This window comes from Homo sapiens, chromosome 1, assembly GCF_000001405.40.
Source record: "Homo sapiens chromosome 1, GRCh38.p14 Primary Assembly".
Taxonomy (NCBI): domain Eukaryota; kingdom Metazoa; phylum Chordata; class Mammalia; order Primates; family Hominidae; genus Homo; species Homo sapiens.
In genome coordinates this window covers 182,871,959-182,892,222 of record NC_000001.11, presented here as the reverse complement: position 1 = coordinate 182,892,222, position 20,264 = coordinate 182,871,959, and the positions used below count along the sequence as shown (strand labels likewise).

The 20,264-nt window shown below is 38.6% G+C and overlaps 1 protein-coding gene across 2 annotated transcripts in view, besides 1 other annotated feature; it reads right to left on the bottom strand.

The window, feature by feature from the left end:
• Positions 1,981–2,030: a silencer, noted in NCBI's record as "silent region_1622". NCBI's record gives its function as "represses an Ori minimal core promoter by ATAC-STARR-seq in GM12878 lymphoblastoid cells {active_cell/tissue: GM12878}" and the evidence as "EXISTENCE:reporter gene assay evidence [ECO:0000049][PMID:35858748]".
• The window catches only part of DHX9 (DExH-box helicase 9), a 48,636-nt gene continuing 32,612 nt past the window's right edge, over positions 4,241–20,264 (bottom strand). For both annotated transcript variants that reach the window (NR_033302.2, NM_001357.5), the window contains 14 exons: positions 19,730–19,886; positions 17,269–17,369; positions 15,960–16,173; positions 15,682–15,776; positions 15,320–15,393; positions 14,050–14,202; positions 12,813–12,973; positions 11,615–11,726; positions 10,798–10,959; positions 10,576–10,703; positions 8,855–9,084; positions 8,588–8,703; positions 7,410–7,610; positions 4,241–5,140 (listed from right to left, as the gene is read on the bottom strand). Coding sequence is in view for 1 of the 2 variants with exons in the window: in NM_001357.5 (NP_001348.2) it covers positions 4,789–5,140; positions 7,410–7,610; positions 8,588–8,703; positions 8,855–9,084; positions 10,576–10,703; positions 10,798–10,959; positions 11,615–11,726; positions 12,813–12,973; positions 14,050–14,202; positions 15,320–15,393; positions 15,682–15,776; positions 15,960–16,173; positions 17,269–17,369; positions 19,730–19,886 (2,256 nt within the window). In the remaining variant the exon portion in view is untranslated. The remainder of the gene's footprint in view (positions 5,141–7,409; positions 7,611–8,587; positions 8,704–8,854; positions 9,085–10,575; positions 10,704–10,797; positions 10,960–11,614; positions 11,727–12,812; positions 12,974–14,049; positions 14,203–15,319; positions 15,394–15,681; positions 15,777–15,959; positions 16,174–17,268; positions 17,370–19,729; positions 19,887–20,264) is intronic.

Below are 20,264 nucleotides of genomic sequence, written 5' to 3'. Positions count from 1 at the left end.
AGAAATGCTATTGATTTTTGTATGTCTGTTTGTATCCTGCAACTTTACCAAATTTATCAGTTCCAGTAGTTTTTCTGCTGGAGTCTTGAGGTTTTTCCAAATATAAGATCATATCATCTGCAAACAAGGATAATTTGACTTTTTCCTTTCCAATTTGGTTGCCCTTTATTTCTTTCTCTTGTCTCATTGCTCTAGCTAGGACTTCCAGTTATGTTGAATAACAACGGTGAAAGTGGCATCCTTGTCTTGTTCTAGATCTTAGAGGAAAGTCCTTTCCCATTCAGTATGATACTAGCTGTGGGTCTGTCATATGTGGATTTTATTGTATTGAGGTATGTCCTTCTATACCCAGTTTTTTGAGGGTTTTATTTAAATCATGAAGGGATGGTTGTTTTTTTTTTTAATTATACTTTAAGTTCTAGGGTACATTTGCACAACGTGCAGGTTTGTTACATATGTATACATGTGCCATGTTGGTGTGCTGAACCCACTAACTAGTCATTTACATTAGGTATATCTCCTAATGCTATCCCTCCCCCCTCCCCCCACCCCACGGGATGGTTGAATTTTAACAAATGCTTTTTCAGCATTAATGGAAATTATCATGTTTTTTGTCCTTCATCCCGTTGATATGATTTATCACATTGGTTGATTTGCATATGTTGAACCATTCTTCAGCTGAAGGAAGGAGTCCTTCTAGAAGCCACAAGCTGTGCTTTCTGTTTTGGGGGAGGGGTGACGTAAACACTCCATTGGCTGCCCCAGCTGGCGTCTCACTAGGTTGTGTGTACCTGAAGTGAACTGGCTCAGAGCCCAGCACAGCACCAGGACTTGTCCAGGAATTGCAGTCCTTGTGGCCTAGACTGCCTTTCATTTAGGACCCCAGAGCACTTTGGTCTGCAGTGGCAGGGCTTGCCAGAAGTCAGGTTCCAACTACTGGGAAGGACAATTCATCTCTGGCTATAAATATCTAGGTGTCTAGGTATCAATATACCTAGCTATCTCTGGCTAGGTATAAATGTTTCCTCCATGGGCGTGGGCTAAATTCTTCTTTGCACTGTGATAGAGTAGCACTGAGTTCCAACGCAGTCTCACAATCTGTTCCCCCACTGCCAGGCACACAGATTCTATCTGCGCCATGTGGCCGCTGCCAGGGCATAGAGAAGTGGTGATGTAGGCCAGTCAAGACTGTCTTTCCTACCTTCTTCCGTGCCTCTTTCCTCAATATACCTCTTTCCAGGTACTGTGATCGCTCACCTGATTTTTAGTTCTTACAAAGGTTTTTGTGTGGATAGTTTTCAGTTTGGTGTTCTTGCAGGGAGATGATCACTGGAGGCTTTTATTCAGCCATCTTGCTCCACCTCTCCTCAACATCTTTTCTTAGAAGCTAAATTATCACTAAAATAGTCTCAGAAATTCAGGTAACCTCAGTTAACTTTGAGATTCAATATTAAATTTTCCCCACATGGTCCAGAAATATTTTATACTACATGTAATAGAACAGTCTGCAAATATGAAAGTTACACAAATACAACTTTAAAAAACTTCCCTTTTTGTCTTCTGGACAGTAATTCAAGTCTAAGTCTTTCTGGTAAATACAGTAGAATTCAGGAGCCGTTTTCCCAGTCAAAACCAAAATTCACATCAGTTCCAAATTAGAAATTCCATTTTTGGTTTTCTTTACTATCCTCCTGTCCCAATTCTGTTTCCAGATTCAGAAAGAGGGAAATTGGTATTCAAATACATGCTTGGCTAAAGTTAATGTCTTCTTTCTTGTTGTCTGGGCTGACCCCTAAGTTGGCACAACTATTCATATTCTGATCTGTTCCTATGGCATCGGTGACATTCAGAGGGTCTGGAGTGTAGCTTCACAGCACAAAAGATCCCACCAAATTGTAGCTGCTTACTTGAGGACACTGTACCTACACATTCTGTTAACGCAGGGAGGTCTGCAGCATGGCTTCCTGCAATTGGCACATCAGCTTTTTCTTCCAGTTAACTTTCAAACTGTCAACCACAGACCAAACACGTGCACATCAGGCCACTCTTTCCTGTCTGAACTTCTAGAAGGGCTGACTCAATTGTCACTGCCAACTCTTATTACCCCCAAACCCCGGCAGATATGTGCTGTGAGAGAAGGGGTGGTAAGCAGAAAACTTTCTACATTATTTTTTCCTCGAATTCTCTCCCATTTCCTGAATGGGAACGGTGTGTATTCAAGCTCTCATTTTGGAAGAACTTTCAGTCATTGCACACTTGCTGTGACATTCTTTAACTATTGTCTTTGTTCTAAGCAAAATGTAGAGATGGCTAAGAAAGGAAATGAAGGCGGGCTGTGGTGGCTCATGCCTGTAATCCCAGCACTTTGGGAGGCCGAGGCAGGTGAATTGCCTGAGGTCAAGAGTTCAAGATCAGCCTGGGCAGGTGAAAACCCATTTCTACAAAAAATACAAAAATTAGCTGGGTGTGGTGGTGGCAGGGGCCTGTGGTCCCAGCTATCCACTGCTTAGGAGACTGAGGTGGGAAGATTGTTTGAGCCTGGGAGGTAGAGGTTGCAAGTGAGCTGAGATTGTGCCACTACACTCCAGCCTGGGTGACCCTGCCTCAAAAAAGAAATTAAACAGTGGTTGATGTCTCAAGGTATTAATGTCACAAAATACTCTACGTAGCCTTCTGCTCTTTTAAGTCTCATCTAAGAAAAGGAATGATTTCTGGACCTTATGATGGATTCTTTGGTAACTGGATTCCCACTTACAGCTATGACAAATACAAATGGCACTGAACTTTTCCTCCCATGTAAGCAACTAGTGAAACAGCTGCTTTCAGACATTAGGTAACAGGCAATGCAGAACTGTGATCCCCAATAAGGAAAACAAATGAGACAAGTCCATGGCTATGTGGAAGCACTTTCTGGGTCATGGCAGAGGGAGAAAGTACCAAGCAGAGCACTGCGGTTAAGAGACAAACGAGTTTAGGGAGGACAGCTGGAATATGTGGGGCACAAGACCGGGGGAAGCTACACATGGAGCTCCTCAGGTCTTTAGCTGAACATGGTAACGTTAGAACTGTGCCTTAGTGCTTCTTTCAACCTTCAGAGAATGCACTTTGACAACTTTTGGCCATTTATCAATTTACATTTCTAATTGAATTTGTTGGAGGGATGAGTACCATTCAAATGAACCATTACTGATTTTATACCTTTTATGGGAGTTTTCACAACTTGCAAAGGGAGAGAAAGCTCATGATCAATCGATGGTGCTAGTTCAGTTTGGCTAGCTACAGCTGTACAGCAGAAATGAAGGTAGAGCCGGAGTGAGTGGCTAAGAAGGGAGTTTAGCCTCTACCCTGACGGCAGTTAAGAACCATTAGTTTAAGTCAGGAGAGGGGGTATGAAACTGGATTTGTTTGGGAATGTTTACTGTAGCTGTAGTGGAGATCATCTTGAGGCAGGCCTGTAGGCAGGATCAGTTAAGTTGCTGTGGCACTGTATGTCCAAACTAAGACTGAATAGAACAGAGGCAACTCAACTATAAAAGTATATTGAAAGATATTTTGAGCTGACTAGAGATGGTGGCTTAAGCAATTAAGCAGCTGAAACTCCAAAGAGCAGAGCAGAGAACATAGTACTGTCAGGACACAGGGTAGGTGGGGAGGGGAAGGTCAGTTTGGAAGGCACTGAGATTTTTTTCTGTGGGATATTTAAGCAGAGACGCATGTTCAGTGTGCAGTTGTTTACATGGCTCAGAAAGGAAATTTCGGTTGGAGACAGACTTGTGAGTCTGCAGATAGGTGCCATCAGCTTAACAATAATTGCTGAAGGTGATCTAAAACATGTATGCAGGATAAAGGACTTTGAAAAGGAAACCAAAACAAAAATATGCCCAAGATCATCCACATGGTTGAGAACAGAATTAAGACAAACCCAGTTCTGTGTAATCCAGTACCTTTGCCCTCTCCACTGTATCTTGCTCAAATGAGAAATGTGAAAAAATTCACTGGAAACTGTAATGTGCTATAAATGTATGAATATCTCTATTAAAACAAAGTAGCTTAACAAAAACCTTTTGCAACACAGTAAGGTAGGTAAATGTGTCACATCAGTGAAGCTTCATTTACCTTTTATTCAAGAGTTCTATGGATTGATTTTATTGCTTTTAATTGTCATCGTGGAAACTAACTTAGAAAAGAAAATGCTGGCCTTGGTCTTATTCAAAGACAGAATATGGGAGGAAGCCAAATGTTCAACCCTAGGTCAAAAGTTTTATTCAGGTTTATGTGGCTTGTGCACTTGCCAGTATTTACTTCAAAAGGTAACAATTCAATTCCAAGATGATTTATTCTATTACAAGTAGTATCACTTAGTATACTTTTGAAACAGGGTACAACTTCTCTGACATTTAAAATCAACAGATGTAGCTGGCATTGTAAAATTTTCTAACATACGAGGTCAACAAACAAACTACACGGCAAGTATTCGGTGTAATACTTTATTTTCTATTGTATTAAACGAAAGCCAGGAAAATACCAAGTTATTTAAAGGCAAATCTTTACTCCTTAAAGAAAAAATACAAACTGTGGTATTTTTAAGAGATCGTTATATTTTACATAATATAAACAAAATCACTAATGCATCTATATGCTTGGTTTCCTTAAACTACAATGAACCACAGAATGGGTGAAAATGCATTTACTTTTTGGTGGCAAATAAACATACTGGAAAAAACACGTAACACATAGCATGCCTTTTTTTCCTTACTGTCTACACACAGGAACTGACATAACCAAGTTTTAATAGCCGCCACCTCCTCTTCCCTGTCCAAAGTAGCCAGTTCCATAGGCCCCCCTACCACCTCCTCGCTGGAATCCCCCAGATCCTCTGTAGCCTCCACTAGGCCCTCTGTAGTCTCCTCCAGAGTTGCCTCTAAAGCCACCTCGGGAAACTCCTCTATAGCCTCCACCAACACCTGCACCATATCCTGCCCGAAAGGAGTTGGCGCTGCCACCATAGCCTCCGCTACCATAGCCTCCACTGCTATAGCCACCGCCATAGCCTCCACCACTGTAACTAGAACCTCCCCTTCTATATCCGCTTCCATTGTCGTATCGGGCCATCTTGGGAGGACGTGGACCATCTCCATACCTAGGAAAAGCACAAAACCATCACTTTAGCAAAGCATTCTTATTATTTCCCAACGACTTACCAAATGTACACATTTAGTTATATTTGAAAATTTAATAAAGGGAATGAAGCCAAATGCACAAATAGAAATTGAAATAAAATTGATCTGCTATTCTAAAACAGTCATCAATTGTATCCATCTGTTTTTCTGAAGTTCTGGTTCAATCTCAAAGGTTTTGAATTTTGGCAGTATGTCATTAGAACTTTAAGACAGTCCTCTTACTCAGTTCAATAACATAAGTGTTCCAAGAAGGCAAGCATTAGGAGAGGGTTCCTGGAGCTGCCAATAAACTATTTGGTCTTTATCACCAGATGTTTTCCTGCAATAATTCTGAAATATGATTTTGAAAAATGTCCTTGGTAATAATGCCTAAATCTGTTTCATGTGGCAAATAAGGAAAATAAAGCGAATAAAAAATTGCAGAAATCAAGATGGACTGTCAACAACTTCAATTAAACATATCCCCAATCTGCTTATTATTCCTGTGCAGCTTTTCTTCGAGAATAACACCACCAATTCAGCAGCTAAGTCAGAAATATGGCTGTGTGGCTGGGTGCAGTGGTTCAGGTTTGTAATCCCAGCACTTTGGGAGGCTGAGGTGGGTGGATCACCTGACGTCAGGAGTTAGAGACTAGCCTGGGCAACATGGCAAAACCCTGTTTCTACTAAAAATACAAAAATTAGCTGGGCGTGGCAGTGTGTGCCTGTAATCCCAGCTGCTCGGGGGGTTGAGGCAGGAGGATCACTTGAACCCAGAAGGCAGAGGTTGCAGTGAGCCAAGATGGCACCACTGCACTCCAGCCTGGACAACAGGGCAAAACTGACTCTCAAAATAAATAAATAAATAAATAAATAAATTTAAAAAAAAATAAAAATAAAAATAAATGACTGTAATCTGTCTTCCTTCTTTCATTGCACTATTCCATTTTAGTCCATCACCAATTCCTATTGATTCTACCACAAATCTGTCTAATCCAGTCACATCTCCCCATTGCAATTCTACTACTGTAATTTAAGCCACCACATATTCATACATCCTAAACTCTCTTGCATATATCCCTTTCTTTCTAGTTTCCGGACTGTTATCCTTCATAGAAACAGATTATATACACAGCGGCTCCTTGCTTACCAGCCCTCCTACCAAAAATAATCTCTCTTCTCCTAAACACCCATGAATACTTCATTTGTTATCTGCCTATGACGGTTATTGAATTATTCTATGCATTTAACCACCTAGGAGGGCCACAGAATAGCATAGTAAGAGCACTGTTTCAGGAGCCATGTTGCCTGGGTTTGAACCTGGTTCTATCAGTTATTAGCTGTATGACCTTGGGTCTTATCTGTGCCTGGTTTCCTTGTTTATATTAAAGAGGATGAGGATAACAATCTACCCATCTTACAGATAGATCAAATGCCAATACATCATTTTTGATGAGGAATTAGAGGTCATTTTTGGATAACTGGAAGAATTTTAGTACCTTAGTATATTATAGTATTACTAAAACACTTAAGGTTTTGGGGTGTGATTGTGGTATTGTGGCCATGTTCTTAAAAGACATGAAGTGTATTGATGTAAAATGTGGTAATGCCTGCTACTTCATCACAAATATTAAGCAAATACAAAATGCTGAAAATTAGTGAACCTAAATAAAGACTATATGGCTATACATTGTATCACTCTTCTTGCCTTTTTGGTAAGTATCAAGTATATGTAAATAAAAATTAGTGGGCAAAGAAAAAATTTTAAAACCTGAAGCAAATAAAAATTTTAAGAATTAAGATAAATTTCTCATTTCTTTAAGATATCCATGCTCTAGTTGTTTAAGATAAACAAAAACACATATACATTTGATACAGAAACAATTTAACATCTCATCAATATTTTTCTTTAGAGATGCCAAAACAGTACCATGGAAAAAGGGCTATCTGGGCTGTGTCACTTCCCTGTCATGTGACCCACTCTGAACTATGTATGTGCATTTGTAAGTTCCTTCTAACACTACCAACATGCACTGATGCAGCAGACCAACTACTAACAAAAAAGTAAATGACATTCTTTGTTCTGAGTATGTTAGAACTCAGAACATCAAACTCTCTATCTATATAGCTCTATCTATATCTAGAATTTTACTTAAGTAATAGGGCTTCTATCACTAACTTCAGGAATTCTAGGCCTACATAAGATCTCTCCCCTCTACTTGGTTCAGTAAGAAGTATATTGGTACTCACCGTGTACTGCCAATCATAAGGTTGATACCAGCAGCTGAGGGTCTAGAGATCTGACGGATCATGTTCAGCATACGTTCATTTACGGGGTCCAACTGGCTGATGATAGCAGGTTGTTTGGTTACTTCAACAACCAAAGCCTCCATGGCTGCCCGGAGACCAGTGATACAGGCAGCAGCTTCATGAGATATTTGCAGTTTAATCCTAAAGTGGCGAAATACATTAAAAATAAGAGAGGGAGTATATGTAGAAAAAGACCATTATCTCTCAACTTCACACATGGCACATTATAGAATAAATTTAACTTCTTAAGCATTAATATTAAAAAAAAAAACTACTTATAATGGCCCCAAACTTAGGCAAACACAGATATGAAGAGTAGTTATAATCAGCACTAGCTTCTTAAAATTCACTGCTAGCTATGAGCAGGAGTCTTAAGCCAAAAAGTCTATCAAGCCAAATAAAATATAATAAAAATATATGCAATATATAATAAACAAAAAACAAAGTCCAGCAATATGGATCATTCAGACTTTCTTTTTTTTTGAGACAGAGTCTTGCTCTGTTGCCCTCGCTGGAGTGCAGTGGCGTGATAGCTCATTGCAACCTCCAACTCCCAGGTTCAAGTGATTCTCCTGCCTCAGCCTCCAGAATAGCTGGGACTACAGGTGTGCGCTACCACACGGGGCTAATTTTTTTGGATTTTTCGTAGAGACAGGTTTCACCATGTTGTCCAGGCTGATCTTGAACTTCCTGAGCCCAAGTGATGTGCCGCACCCAGCCAGATCATCCAGACTTTAAAATAATGAATTTAAGAGACCCAGAATACTGGCATTTTCTAGGTTTTCAAGAATATGATGGCTGAGCCTACTGGCTGTCCATTAAGCTCTATTCCATTTTTGCCCAGTGCTTACCACTAGTTTTGAATCAATATACAGAGTATGTGAAAGGGTACTCAAGCTTCACTTAGATTCTGATTCCATAGTGGTGGTGTGCCTAGTGGTAGACATGGCTCAAATTCCTAATGCATTTGCTTCTACTGGTATCAATTTAAGATTAAGTATATAGTATATAATTAAGTTAGATATAATTAGTATATAATTAAGTTAGATTAGCAGCTGAATTCCATCATATTGTAATTCTAAGAATTCAGTTTGGAGTTCACATCTGAAAATCCATACCAGTCATCTACAAGCACAATCTGCCCATCAGATTGGACTTTCTTGGAGGCAAAGAGAAGCAACTGCAGGGGGGTGACTAAAGTCATGCCTTTAGCAGAGATGGCTCGAGTTCGAATCTGCAAATGGAGAAAGAGACAATACAAAATGGTTGACATTCCAACTTCCAAATACCGCTATATACTGTGCTTTGAAAATCAAAATTCATGTTCCTAATGATTGTAAAGACAATTTCAACTTTCAATGTAAACTTTTCTAGTCTTTTCTTACCTTTTCACCAAATACAAAGAAGGGAGATGGGTACTTCATGTCTTGGCTACTAAAAGGACAATTAACAGATGATTTGTGGATAAGTGCATTACGCCCTTCAGTGGTGAGAATCTTCCTCTTTTCCTTATGATAGCATACATTGGGGTACACACCAAAGGCCAGGAGGGAGATAACAACATCCAAATTATTATCTGGTCCAGTGTTAGTAAACACTTGTGTCAACAAACAATCTGTTAAGAGGAGCACAGTGAAAACAAAAATCAGATAACTGGCTGATCTTCACATTACATGCAAACTATTTAAGATAATTCAGAGAACTGACTCTTCCTCACTCTTTTCACATAACCTGTCTGTAAAACTTTCTCTTCTCAGAATCCTTACACCCAGATTAAGTTCAAGGAGTAATGTTACTGAGTTTCCACAATAAGAAAACGAAAACGTCTCTATTCTCTTATAGACTCAACCATAAATAAGCTTGGGGTGATTACTTTTTTTTTTTTTTTTTGAGACGAGTCTCGCTCTGTCGCCCAGGCTGGAGTGCAGTGGCGCCATCTCTGCTCACTGCAAGCTCTGCCTCCCGGGTTCATGCCATTCTCCTGCCTCAGCCTCCCAAGTAGCTGGGACTACAGGCACCCGCCACCACGCCCGGCTAATTTTTTGTAGTTTTAGTAGAGACGGGTTTCACCGTGTTAGCCAGGATGGTCTCGATCTCCTGACCTCGTGATCCACCTGACTCGGCCTCCCAAAGCGCTGGGATTACAGGTGTGAGCCACTGCGCCCGGCCGGGGTGATTACTTTTTAAAGTCCCCCAATCAACCATCTACTCTGAGAATAAGAGCTTGACTGATAGGACCACAAAGTATTTATCTGCTACTCTTAAATAGCTGTTAGTTGTAGAGAAGATGGAGATAATCTAAGAGGACACCTACTGGAATGAAGGCTGACGTTTTTACCCAGTCTACACTTTGAGTACTTAGCTACTGACTGGAAAGCATGACAGTCAACCGCTGAAAGCACAGACATATTTTGTTCTAGACAAACGAGTTCTAGTCTTATAGCCTCCTAATTGGATGAATTAAAGACAATTTATACCTTGGTGCCTGTTTCATTACCTGTAAAATTCATCTCAAGATTCTAGCACATGAAGTTTTCCCTTTCTTATAATTTTGAGGAAAAACTAAAATTTCGGCTGGCTTATGACAGAAGAGAACCACTCACTACTTTGTTTAGTTATTCCAATTACAGCCTTTAAAAATTTACCATCTTGCCCAACTACCTTCTGTCTCTCAACAGTCTTATTTCTGGTTATGCATTCCAGTTCTCAATGTTTTAGGAAGTAATTCTATATTTTAACCTAGTTGGAAAAGAAAAGTACTACAGCTCATCAAGAAACATGGGTTGGTTTTTTTCTATGTTAGATGTCATAAAGTCCTTTAATCATCTGTACACCGAAAGTATAAATTAAAGTCATTTAAAATTTAATGTGGTAGAATTTACTTCAAGTCTAAATGCTAATAAATTACTTTGCAAACCACTATAAGGTTATCAGCAAAGTACTCATTCTGGGAACTAGACCAGTGTTCACGAGAACTAAGAAATAGTCGGGAATATATAAAAATCATAGGGTCTAAAATTTGAAACTAAAATACACTTTGCTGTCAATTTGCATGTACTATATAAATGTCACTTTAAAGATATCTTAAGAATGGAAGAAGTCTTACCTTCTGGAAACCCAGAATTAATCAAAATCTCTTTGAGCTGAACTTTGGCTTCCCAAGTCATTCTTAGTGTAGCCATATTAAGTCTTTTGTGCTCACAAAAACGTATCTCTGCTTCTTCTCCACCCATTCTAAAATAAATTGGCATGAGAAATCATTCTCTAAGACCAGAGAACTAAATACAAATGAGAAACTACAGACAGCTCACCCAAATCTTACTCATACCTAGCATCATCCCAGGCTTGGAATACTGATAAAAGGGCTACGTGATCAGAAAATCTGTTTCCAGCAAAATTTCGATGGATATAGCCCAGCCGCTTTCCTTCATTGATGAAAGGCTCTGGAAAGCAGGTAGCAGCAGCAATGGTACAGATAGCATCTCCCACGCTGAAATACACAAAGACAGTTAAATCCAGACTAGATCACAATGTTGTTGCCAGCAGCTCAGGTAGGACTGTCGACTGTGGGTTGCAGTCTTTATGGCTATGATTCTACTTTTATTTGCAATGAAACTGGCTTAACAAAGAACTTTATAGCTGCTCTCTTCAGAATCAGAAAGAAAAAAATGCTCTGATGCTCTAATGGCCACATATTTATCATAAATTATGACCAAGTATATTTTTCCTTTTATATTCTCTCTTCCCCATCATACCAAATCTCTTAATCTTCAACATTTTCTGATAAAATAAACCTCTTTTCCTGACACCGCTCTTTCAAGACCAACTATTAATAACAAGGGACCCTCCCACCCTGGCCTCCCAAAGTGCTAGGATTCAAGGTGTGAGCCACATTGCCTGGCCTGCTTGCTTTTAACTTTTGAGAAATCAGTGCCCTTTTCCCCATATTGGGCCCAGATATCCACCTACTGGAACTGTTCATTTTTTTAGTGTTACACTGCTCTCAATATCTAGGTATGTTACTTCCCTGAAGAACATTTAGGATTTTTTTTTTGTCTATCTGAGCCAATACTGCTTTTACAGGGAGGAGAAGATTCTGAAATTATTCTGCCACTTAACGAAGAGAAATAAAACAAAGCACTTACTAGAAAATACACCCCATTATCATCATTTTGCCAAAACGAGGCTCAATGGGGAGTTTAGCCAGGATTCGTCCCAAAGGAGTCAACTCATCATTGGCATCTAATGCATCAAGCTCTGTGGGGAGATAGTTCTTTGTGAGCAGAAACAAATGAACACTAATTTTAGGCAGACAAAACATTACTCTAAATTAAGGTTAAGACAGTTTAGAGTTCCTCTTTTGTCAAGCCAATCGCTAATACCATGTCTACGGCCAACAATTCTCTGTACTCAAAAATAGAACAAAATCAAAATCTGGAGCACCCAACATAAAGGTACTACAACTAAATCCTGTAGGTTATAAAAACAAATACAATTCATATGAAGTCTATAAATACAGTATTAACTATAATAGCAGCGTAAGTTTCTACATGCCATAAGAAGTCTGATACCCAGCTGTTAATGTTTTAAAAAAAATAAAATCTAGAGAAAATTCTGAAGTTACATAGTAGATAAATGCTAGATTCAAAATTCAAATTCAGATCTAGCTCCAATGCCCTTAATTTTCACTGTACCTCTAACAAGTTTAGCAAGAAAAAATAAATGTTCCAGGCTGGACACAGTGGCTCCTGCCTGTAATCCCAGCACTTTGGGAGGCTGAGGTGAGTGGATCACTTGAGGTCGGGAGTTTCAGAAGAGCCTGGCCAACATGGTGAAACCCTGTCTTAGTAAAATATAAAAATTAGCCGGGTGTGGTGGTGTATGCCTGTAGTCTCAGCTACTCGGGAGGCTGAGGCAGAAGAATGGCTTGAACCTGGGAGGTGGGGGTTGCAGTGAGCTGAGATCACGCCACTGCACTCCAGCCTGGGCAATGGAGCGAGATTCCGTCTCAAAAAAACAAAAAAAGTTGTAAGAGATTCATATGAAATACTGTGGGTATCATGAGTAAGTTATGTTCTGATCTTTAGTACATAGTTAAGAGATGCCTTTTTAAGTTTTCTTTTCTTTTTTAAAGACTCACATTGTCCCTTTCTTCCTTCTCATTGCTCATTAGAACAGTGACTATACTAACTATCTAAGGTAAGACTGGAGGCCTTACTATTATTATCACAGCCCTGTTGACTACATCTTCATCATCTTGATTCATTTGTAAGTGTTATCTGCCAGAACAAGACAGATGGTATGATTAATATCTGCGTCAAGTAGGTTTGTATTTGTAAGTACCTCTAAGAGTGTGTTCTGCTTCAATCACAGCATCCAAAGGGGGAGGTTCAATTGCTTTGGCCAGAAATTGGCCAATTCCTCCTAGACGCAGAAGTTTTATGCTAAGAGCAATTTCATGCAATGGTGTTCGGAACATCTCTGGTGTCATGTGGGTTTCAAGTCTAAGAGAAAATAAGCATAAAATAACCATCCTCCTTGTGTATACACAGATGTTAATAAACTTTTTGCAGCAAGGTAATCAGGGATACAGAGCTGCCTTTTCCTCATCCTTTTATTTTACAATTACCATCGGACCTTTTATCGTTCACTATACACACTGTTGACAAAATTTAATCTGGTTGCATAGTGGTTTCTGACTTATCCTCACAGCTTGATAGCCTTTTAGGCTGAGAAGAAAAATGAAAAAATTATCCAAAATCGCGAATGTTATTAGCTCCACCCATGGTCTCTTCAGGCCTTGCCTGTTGACAAACATGGGTTAAAAACGACAACAAGACTTTTTGTAGGATGATAACTCATACTAACATTTCTCTACAACCTCCCACCTTCCTAGTTCATGTAATTTTAGTGCCACTAGAAAGGCTCTTATAGATGTATCTTTAAAATCCAAAACTTTTTGACTTCTGACATGACACTTAAAGGAAATGCTCATTAGAGCGTTTTGGATTTCATATTTTCAGATTAGGGATGCCCGACTGGTAAATACAATGCAAATATTACCAAGAAAAAAAATCCAAAACCACTTCTGGTCCCAAGCATTTCAGTTTTAAAAGAGATATCTGACCTGTATAAATTAACAACAGCAAACACTTATTGGGAGATCATGATGTGCCATACACTGTTCAAAGTATTTTACATTATTAAATCATTTAATACTTATACCAACCCTATGGGTTAGGCATTATTTATATTCTTTTTACAACTGAGGAAACAAGAGAGGTTAAGTAACTTAATATTTTATAGAATGAGGGAAATGCAGGCCTAAGGAGTAACCACTTAGTGTTATACAATGTATTAGGCACAAATAATATTAAAATCTAGGTCTCTATATTTCTAAATCTGGCTTATTCTCTAAATGATTTGTGATGAAGATTCTTACGAAACATTTACACCTGATTCCAACATGGCTGGCAAGACTTAGATCAGCTTATATTGGCAGGTTTACATAACTGCACACATCTGTCCCTACAGAGAACAGAACAAAAATCCCTTACTAAAGGTCAAGAATGGGTCTTACCTCTCAAAACGAGCTCGGCTGCACAGGTGAAAGCAGAATCCAGGCCGTACTCGGCCAGCTCGCCCTTTCCGTTGCTCAAGGTTTGTTTTTGATGCCCATACGGTAGCATAGTTGGTCATATTGTTGTGAGCAGTGAAGAGTTTCACTTTCTGCCTACATAGGAAAAAGTGGTTAATTCTAAGACTCATGTGTATTATCAATAACTATTATATATCCACTAAGTAGTGAATGCTTTCCACTATGTAGTTAAAGCCATACCTACTTGTGATGTCTATTCATGAATGGCACAAGTAAGAATCAGCAATCTGACTGCAAACTCCTAGTTGTCAACCTACTAAAAGGCAATGTAACATCCACTTGCCACTTATCAGCTGAACTGCCTTGGCCAAACTTTGCATGCCATTATCTACCTTATAGTTTTTTTGGTAAACATTAAATAAATTAACAAATGCAAAGCATTTAAATGGAATATGGCACATACACAAAAGAAAGTAATTATTTAAGTCATCTCTATTCCAAAGTTTAGTGTAACTTTTAGGATATCTGTATCTAGTGATGCCTGTGTGGTCCATTTGAACCCCCAAGTAACCTCAGATTCCTTCAATGTTACATACAGAGACAGCTGCCACTAAATGACTGGGATTGGCACAGAATGCTATTCATCATTTCCTAAAATGGATGTTGGCAGCAAATTGTTTTCATTGTCAGGACAGACTAAGGAATTATAAAGAGAAGTCATGGGGTACAAGTTGGCCAGATATAACCAAGTTTCAACTTTTTTGTCCTTTCAATTTATCAATTACCATGTAATTCCTGTATCTACACAGAATGTCTCCTGGTATATTTTTCCAGGCTCATCTCATACCAAAATGAAGACCCTTAATCCTTAAAGGAGTGTCCTTCAAGGTAGGATATTTGTCATGTGCTAAACACTGGTCATCTTTATTCATCAAACAGCATGCTATAGTATGGCAGTGATCAATGGAAACACCCAATGGGAAATAAGTGAGACACCAGCAGCCAAGAGCAATGAGAAGTAATCATCAGTTACAGTTTCAAGCTTTGTCACTTTCTACCGTAACTGATTTGCAGTAATCAACAATAATTACTCTTAATTATCAATTACCTATAATGCTATATAGATGCACAATAATTTTGGAGATTTAAGAACACAGGAGTTTAAAAATAAGGTGTTTTTGATTCTGTTAACTGGTAAGAAGTTTCCAGTTAGTAACACTGGAGCAGACAAATAGGTTTCCCAGTAACTTACTTGCAGGAGTCAATGACATAAACAACATCGTTTATGGTAATGCTTGTTTCAGCAATATTTGTGGACAAAATAACCTGTGAAGAAAGAAAAATTACACTCCAGAAAATATTCTTATTAGTTACTTAAAAGGACTGATTTGCTTATGTATGTAACAAATGACAAGAAAATTACAGAAGTCCTAAAAAGATCACCCAATAACTGATTAATGAACAACAATCTACTAAGCTCAGAAAGAGAAGACTCCTTTTTTCTTCCTCAATTTAGATGGGTTACAATTTTTTGGGTAGCTCTTTGAAAGCCTGTAACATTTGTTTAGTATCTACGTCACTTCCAATCCCATCACTCTAATGTTTAATATTTACCTTGGTTACTCCAACTGGTACTGGATCAAACACTTTGCGCTGTTCCTCTCGAGGAATCTGAGAATGCAGGGGTAGAATCTGATACCGATGGCTTCCTATATAACAATAAAGAACAATCAGGGACTAAAAACAGGAGCTGGTTTCAAACAGCTCTCCATTATACATATTTTTATTCGAAAGTAGAAACAATACAAAATTTTGTTTTCACATACTGGCTAAGGCACTAGCAAAAACATTCATTTTCACTCTCAAATATGTGAGAATTCAAAGACTCATACCAAAATGTGGATTCATTTCCAAATGCTTCTGCATAGTATAAATCAGATTCCAGCCAGGCAAAAAAACCAACACAGCTCCAGGAACATTAAGGGTTTCAATGTACTTAAGTAGAGCCTCGATGAGTTCAAAAGGAGTTTCCTTTTCGTTCAATTGAGACATGCTCAACCTTGTTTCTGGACCATATTCATCACCACAGATCAAGTTGCAATTTGCCTGTAAAAAACAGGGAGACATATTTTTGGATTGTCTCAGTTACTCATGAGGTAAGTCTTCTAGATTTCTTCTAGTGACTCTAATTACTTGTAATGTCATTATTTATTCTAGTTGACTAGTCACACACTATAGAATACAGAAGAAATTTAATTTCCAAAAATGTAGAGCTTACATCAATATACTGAACTTTTCCACTAATTAGTATTTCTCACAGGATAGGACTAAAATTCAAACACAAACTTAAATTTGACTCAAAACTCTCATGGAGCCTTCTGAGTATATTTCTTTGTATTATTGAAATAATGTATTTTCCAAAAAGTTTACATTTGAATCAATGATAAAGCAAGTTGAGAAACAGTTGTTGCAATTGGTCTTTTTCTAAATTTTCTAATCTGCTGTTCATTTACATCTTCAGATCTTTTGATTAAAAAGATATAATCTTAGGTTTTCTAGCAAATTCTGCATTGCTGGCTGTCTCAGTCTGTATTTCCAGATAATCCATTTCTATACTATCGTCGTCCAACTCTCAAGCACTACAAAGTCTTTTCTTTCCTGTTTCTCCTAGGAAATCCCTCATTGCTCCCTGATTTAATACTCTGTCCACCTGATAATGTCATCACCGGTCTCCTGTAGCTAAAGCTATAGCTGCTGTTTCTTAAACTTTATTGTATATACAGATCACCTGAGGATCTTGTTAAACTGTAGATTCTGACTCAGTAGATCTAGGGTGGGGCACAGCATTCTGTCTTTCTACCAGTTTCCCAGATGCTGCAGCCTACTGAAAAACTTTGAGTAGCAAAACCTTATACAACAGCATTGTCCCTAACCATGCCTGGCCTTTAAACATCGCATTCTTTCTTCTTTTTCCTTTGATCTTTACGCCAGAGATAATTTAACTTGTGATAGAAAACAGCTTGTCACTGAACCTGGAATTTTTTTGCAGTAAAATACATCAATTAATCCAAAGGCAGACATTACAGTCAGTTTTTAAGAAAGTTTGCTGTAATGCTAATACATTGCATGTTACATTAACTCATTTTTTTCTCTGCATTGACAATTTGCCCATAATGGAAATTCTTCATGAAATTCACTTACATCATCATCCTCACCACCATCATCATCCTTATCCTTCTTCTTTTTGTCTTTTGGTGGAGGAACAAAGTGGGTCATCTGAATGCAGTCTTCCAGAAAATATTCTGCCAGGGACAATCCAGTCAGGTTAAGTACTATCAACTTTCACAATGGAGCAGACCTAAATTCATTTGCTAATTCATAGTTCAAAACTACTTTAATACCCCTCTAGTCTGATTCTTCACAAATGCCAAAAAGTTCCAGTAGCAATAACCTTATTTTCCTAATCAAACTCAGTGTTTCCCTCTCTTAGACCTTGAAGGAGGGTGAGGTGTCTTTTATACATGTTCCCAGAGCCAGTTGGGGTATCCTCTGTGTATAACATTCAATCAAACATTTATCTATACACTTCCATTGTGTGGGAGTTATACATGGAAAGAAGTAACTTCAATACAATATACCACAGTCCATCCTTCCTCTATCAGTATGCACACACAAAATGGCTTCTGGTCAATCTGAAGAAGGATCTCAATGCAAGGACTGGAAGATCTGTTGATCAATTATGCCCAAGATTCTCAGATGGCCCCAGAATGTCTTTATAATCAAAACACCCTCTATATCCAAAAACTCCCAAAGTGCCAGTCTCATCACATCATATTAAGGGCATATCCTATCAATATGACTTACTCCTCATGATGTTAAAACTTGATCACCTGTGGTAGTGCCTGCCAAATTTCTCCACTGTAAAGTTACTCATTTTCCCTTCTTCCCACACTGTAGTCTTCAGAAGTTATTAAACACAGCCCACTCAGGGGTTAGGTAGTGTAGGCCCACTTGTTTGAAAAATGGGGAGACCATTTACATAAATTATTTGAAATTCTTTTGTAAGAGGCACTTGTCACTATTCTTTTTATTAAACCACTTATTTACATATCAGTATAGACACACAAATATTTTGTATTTTGGTAATCTAATACCATGTTATTTTTTTTCCTCAAACTGTTCCAGCTTTGGCCATTGGGAACTCTTTCAGGTTGGCTCCTGTGTCCCTTTATCCCCATCGTTATGGGCTTCTTTTAGGCACCTCCTTACTTTAAGGGACAAGATGTTCCAGGCTCATTTTTGTATATTGTTTCATCCTAGAAGCAGCCATTTCTCCAGGAATATCTGGCTCCTTTAGTTGGAGAATGGCATTAAAAACAAAATCTGAATGTGGGGCATATCCCTATCTACTGGGTGTCACTGCTTCTACTCCCACTCAGCACAGAGCTAGAAAAAAATATGTATACTAACACATGTATCCACACCTATCTATAATTATTTCTATACCTATCCATTTGTACCTCCATTTAGCTAAACACACGTTCGTACTGATCTCTTTGAGTATAATCCAGTAACATACGGTTTGTTCTAGCAATCCCACTTATCCTTAACTTCTCTTCCTAGTAGTAAGAAACTGAGCTCCCACCACTTGCCATCCATTTACTTGTATGGCATTTCCAGTACACATGTACAGCAGTTTCAGAATTAACCTGTACCCCAGTGAATTATACTGGCTTAGCATGCTGGCATAGCCATAACATCACTTCGTATCTGTCTACACTGTTTCTCTCTTATTTTCATGCCCTCAATTAGAATGTACCATAATTCTTTTTTTTCCCCCACAGCTACCAGATGACTATCCTAGAAAACTGTGGTAACAACTCCTAAAGACAGTAAAGAAGGCTGGGCGCAGTGGCTCTAGACTGTAATCCCAGCACTTTGGGAGGCTGAGGCAGGCTGACTGCTTGAGTCCATGAGTTTGAGAGCAGCTTGGGCAACAGGGTGAGACCTTGTCTCTACAAAATATACAAAAATTAGCCAGGCGTGGTGTTGTGCGCCTGTAGTCCCAGGTACTCAGGAAGCTGAGATGGGAGGACTGGTTGAGCCTGGGAGCCAGAGGTTGCAGTGAGCCAAGTGAGTGCACCACTACACTCCAGTCTGGGTGACAGAGTGAGACCTTGTCTTAGAAAAACAAAAAGATACTAAAGAACTCTCACTTATCAGAAATACATAACCTTGATACACTTCCTTTAATCTTAATTCAAAATCTAGTTGCTCAGGCTCTAAAAAGGATTCTTAATTTGATCCTGGCTGCTTAAACTTTTAACAGTAATTCCCATAATTACCTATACACCACAGTGATTTCCCTTTGACTATACTTTATAATTTTTAAAAGTTTGGCTTTATAAGTAAAGGCCTGGAAACTTACTGCATATGCAAACTACTCAAGTAGTAAATGAAACCTGGTCTCACTTCTCAGACTGTACTCACTACTGTATAAAATAACAGAAGAGAAACTCCTCAAAAATGCTATGATACATTTGATACTATAATTTGTCCTGTATTTTAAGTATTCTTTAAATTGTAACTCCAATCTCCAGGATTAAGAAAATACAAACCCTATTGCACAAAAGATGTTCCTATACCACCCCCACAATATTACCTTGAACTGGGTAAGTCCTCCCATAAACTTCAATGATGGGGCAATTGAAGAAATATTCACAAAACATGCTGGTATCAATAGTAGCAGACATAAGAACAATGCGAACTTCAGGATAAGCCTGAACAACATCACGCAGTACTACCAAAAGGAAGTCAGTCTATTAAAAAACAAACACAAAATTTTTGAAATTACATTAAGTTTATATAACAAGCTATGCCTAAAAGAGTTATACAGCCATAAGACATCAATTAAATTCAGTTTCTTAGATGACTCACAGAAGTGCCAAGATAAAGGACCACAATGGATCTTTTATCAATTTTTAAGATAACAATAACAATTTTTGAGAACAGTTGTAGCCTAATAGTTGTGATTAGAAATGAGTGCTATTGGCCAGGCCCAGTGGCTCACACCTGTAATCCCAGTATTTTTGGAGGTCAAGGCGGGCAGATAATCTGAGGTCGGGAGTTCGAGACCAGCCTGACCAACATGGAGAAATCCTGTCTCGACTAAAAATACAAAATTAGCCCAGTGTGGT